Source organism: Homo sapiens, chromosome 12 (genome assembly GCF_000001405.40).
Source record: "Homo sapiens chromosome 12, GRCh38.p14 Primary Assembly".
NCBI lineage: Eukaryota > Metazoa > Chordata > Mammalia > Primates > Hominidae > Homo > Homo sapiens.
This window is the reverse complement of record NC_000012.12, coordinates 129,949,251-129,950,995: the sequence shown is the minus strand read 5'-3', so window position 1 is coordinate 129,950,995 and position 1,745 is coordinate 129,949,251. Positions and strand designations below refer to the sequence as shown.

At 45.3% G+C, this 1,745-nt stretch overlaps 1 annotated feature.

Annotated features, from left to right (window-relative positions):
• Window positions 1,167-1,336: an enhancer, noted in NCBI's record as "experimental_25563 CRE fragment used in MPRA reporter constructs". NCBI's record gives its function as "activates a minimal promoter by MPRAs in K562 erythroleukemia cells, with activity observed for the non-introgressed 12:130434290 variant allele {active_cell/tissue: K562}" and the evidence as "EXISTENCE:reporter gene assay evidence [ECO:0000049][PMID:34662402]".

Sequence of the window (1,745 nt, the reverse complement as noted above, 5' to 3'; positions counted from 1 at the left end):
CTATCATTTTTAACAAGTGTCAGAATAATTTATTTTCTTTGACGTTGGCCATCCATAGTTGACTAATATCAAGAGTTATTTTGCTTATGGAGGAATATTTTGATCACTGGGCTGGTGCTCAAATTTCCATTGGAAATTTCTAATGGAGACAAGTCTCCATTGCATAAGAGACTTGACTCCAACTGGCATAAGAAGAAAAGGAGATTTTTGTGGTTCATACAGTTGGAAACTCCATGGATCATCTTCATATTATGTATGGTTCAATCTACGAGCACGGAAAAAATAGCATCAGAGTCTGATTTCCCCCAAATGCTCCTCATTGTCACAAGATGGCTGCTGCAGGGGAGAACTCTACATGTTCTCCCCTTCAGGACAAAGAAAGAACCTGCCTCACTCCTAAAAGCTCAGCACAAGTCTCACTGCACCTGTTTAGCTCTCATTGGGCCATGCAACATGACTAAACCCACCATGGCTAAGGCAATGGGATGCTTTGATGGGCTGACACAATAACCACCTCTAATGCAAGGGATGAAGAAACCCATTCATGTGACCTGATGATGGTTGGTGTGAACCTGCCAGAAAGAGACTGACACACTATTTTGCCAGAAATACAGGCAATGAATATTGAACAGAAAAAAATACAGTGGTCCACTTAGCAATGCTCCCTCACTCATAGTTCATATTAATATTTCTTGCATTGAATGCAGGATAAATTAACAAATATCTCCAGAATAGTTGGGGCTTAGATAAACATTCACACAACAGACACAAAGCTCTAAATGGCCCCATTGAGGGCCAGAAGGACAATGACGTCTGGCACAAAACATCCCTTCATTTATGGAAGCAAAAACTGGCCACTGGAGTCATGCCTTAAAACAGAGCTCCAGACAGAATCCAAAAATTGCGTTTTAGTTGCAATAGTATGGCAGTAACTGTCTGTTGGTGGTGTTTGCTGTCACGTCTCACATTGTCATTTGCATGGGCTGCTGTCCATATTCTCAATAAACAGGCCCTGCCTGTAGCCTGGCTTACACGTTATTTTTCTAAGTTGGTAAATAATGAAATGAGATGTGGGGTGTCACGCGTGCTGTTGGCACATACTGGTACAAACATGTGCCGCTCGGTTCCGTTGACGCTGCTCCCATCTGGCCTAAATATAGAGACATCGATTTTCCTCCAGATGGTGCTGCGGCTTTCAGTGGATTGCTCTTTTTTCTACTAATAAGCACGGAGCTCGTCCCGCCTAATGACGGAACCCTGGGATGCGAACATCTGGGGGAAGCTCAAGGTGTCTTGTCAGTTGACTTGCAAGCTCCACGTGGAAGAGTTCAATGAATCTTTGGTGGTAACAGGAGCTCCAGCTGCTGAATTAATTATCAGGCACCAGGGGAGTGAGACGGTGACCTGGGGAGAAGCCCTTTGGCCCTGGGTCCCCCTTTCTCATCCATAGAAGGGAAGCGGTGAGCCTCAGGAAGTGAGAAGGCACTACTGCCTGTCTGGGCCCAGTGATTCAACTGCTCTGCTCTTGGGAGCCCTGGGACCTTTCCCAGGATGGAAAAATGCAACCATTGCTTTCCAGGAAGAAAGGACTGTAGGGAGGAACTGGAACCTGGCTGTTTGCCAAGGAAGCCAAGCAAAGCCACCCAAAGCAAGGTGAGACTCCAGTGAAGAGGAGCTGTGGGTTCTCCAACCCATTCTCACTTGGCCAATTTTTTATTTTTGTGTTTTGGAGATAAAGTCTGGCT